Source organism: Homo sapiens, chromosome 3 (genome assembly GCF_000001405.40).
Source record: "Homo sapiens chromosome 3, GRCh38.p14 Primary Assembly".
Classification (NCBI taxonomy): domain Eukaryota; kingdom Metazoa; phylum Chordata; class Mammalia; order Primates; family Hominidae; genus Homo; species Homo sapiens.
Genome location: NC_000003.12, coordinates 20,240,055 through 20,241,277, shown reverse-complemented (window position 1 = coordinate 20,241,277; position 1,223 = coordinate 20,240,055). Strand labels below are relative to the sequence as shown.

The 1,223-nt window shown below is 52.7% G+C and overlaps 1 annotated feature.

The window, feature by feature from the left end:
• Nucleotides 908-977: a silencer, noted in NCBI's record as "silent region_14136". NCBI's record gives its function as "represses an Ori minimal core promoter by ATAC-STARR-seq in GM12878 lymphoblastoid cells {active_cell/tissue: GM12878}" and the evidence as "EXISTENCE:reporter gene assay evidence [ECO:0000049][PMID:35858748]".

Genomic DNA, 1,223 nt, shown 5'->3' with positions numbered 1-1,223 from the left:
AGCAAGAATTCAATGGGTATCCACCAAGTACCCAGAGGTGTGCCTAAGCATGGAGCTGAGAAACCCCCTTAGCCGCCAGTTCTCTGCACTGGCATGAGGGCCAGCCTAAATTCCTAACCCAGGAGAGTTAGTGCAGCAAGTGTTTGGAGATCTGCCTGGACTTGGAGTGCAAAGGGCCCCACTACACCACAATCTCTGCACAGGAAGGGTGGGCAGCTCAGGCCAGTAATTCAGAGGACCTGTTGCTCTGAATGCCTGAATGCCTGGAGATATGACTAGGTGTGGAGCAAAGATGGCCCCACTTCACCACCATTTCTGCATAGGAATCATGGGGAAGCTCACACTGCAGATCCAGGTATGTGAGTGTTCTGACTACTGGGCATAGAGTGGAGAAGACCCTGCTCCACCACAATCTCTGTGCAGGAAGGTTGAGGCAGCTCACACTACCAGTTCATGTAAATAGGTGCTCCAAATGCCTGGAGATCTGCTTAGGTATGGAGTACAGTGATCCCCTCTGAGCCAGTATCTCTGCCAAGGAAAGTTGGGGTGACTCAGGCTGCTGAACCAGGCAAGCAGGAGCTCCATATGCCTGGATCTCTGCCTAGACTTGAAGCAGAGAGAGCCAACTTGCACCAGGATTTCTGTACAGGGAGGGTTGGGTGGGTCTGACTGCTGATTTGGGTAAGCAGGTCATCCAAATACCTGGAGATATACCTGGGAGTGAAGCAGAGAGGGCCCTGCTGCACCTCAATGTATGCCCAGGAAGGATGGGTAGCTCAGGCTGCTAGTCCAGGCAAATGTGTGCTCCAAATACCTGGAGTTCTGTCTAGGGGTGTAGCAGAGAAAGTTTCACTGTTTCCTGATCTCAGAGGAGCAGGCTGAGGCACCCAGCAATGACACACACAGACTGGTTCCAGGTCATCAAACTGGCCCTGGCTGCCTGTCTCGTCACCTAGGAGAAACTGCAGCTGTAGCAGCTCTCCTCCCACCCAGGCCTGTGATGACAGAGAGCACAACTGAAGTGCCTACTACTGAGGTGCTTTTCACAATTCTAGCTGTGGAGGCCCCTACCTCACTCCAGAGCGAGTGCTCCAATATCTGGCCCAAGACAATGATGCCTGCATGACCATGCTGCTGGGTACCTGGCAATTGGCTGACTTTGTATGCACCCAGATTGAAAATGGTGTCTTACTCTTAGTCATGGGTCTGGGAATGCCTGCAGC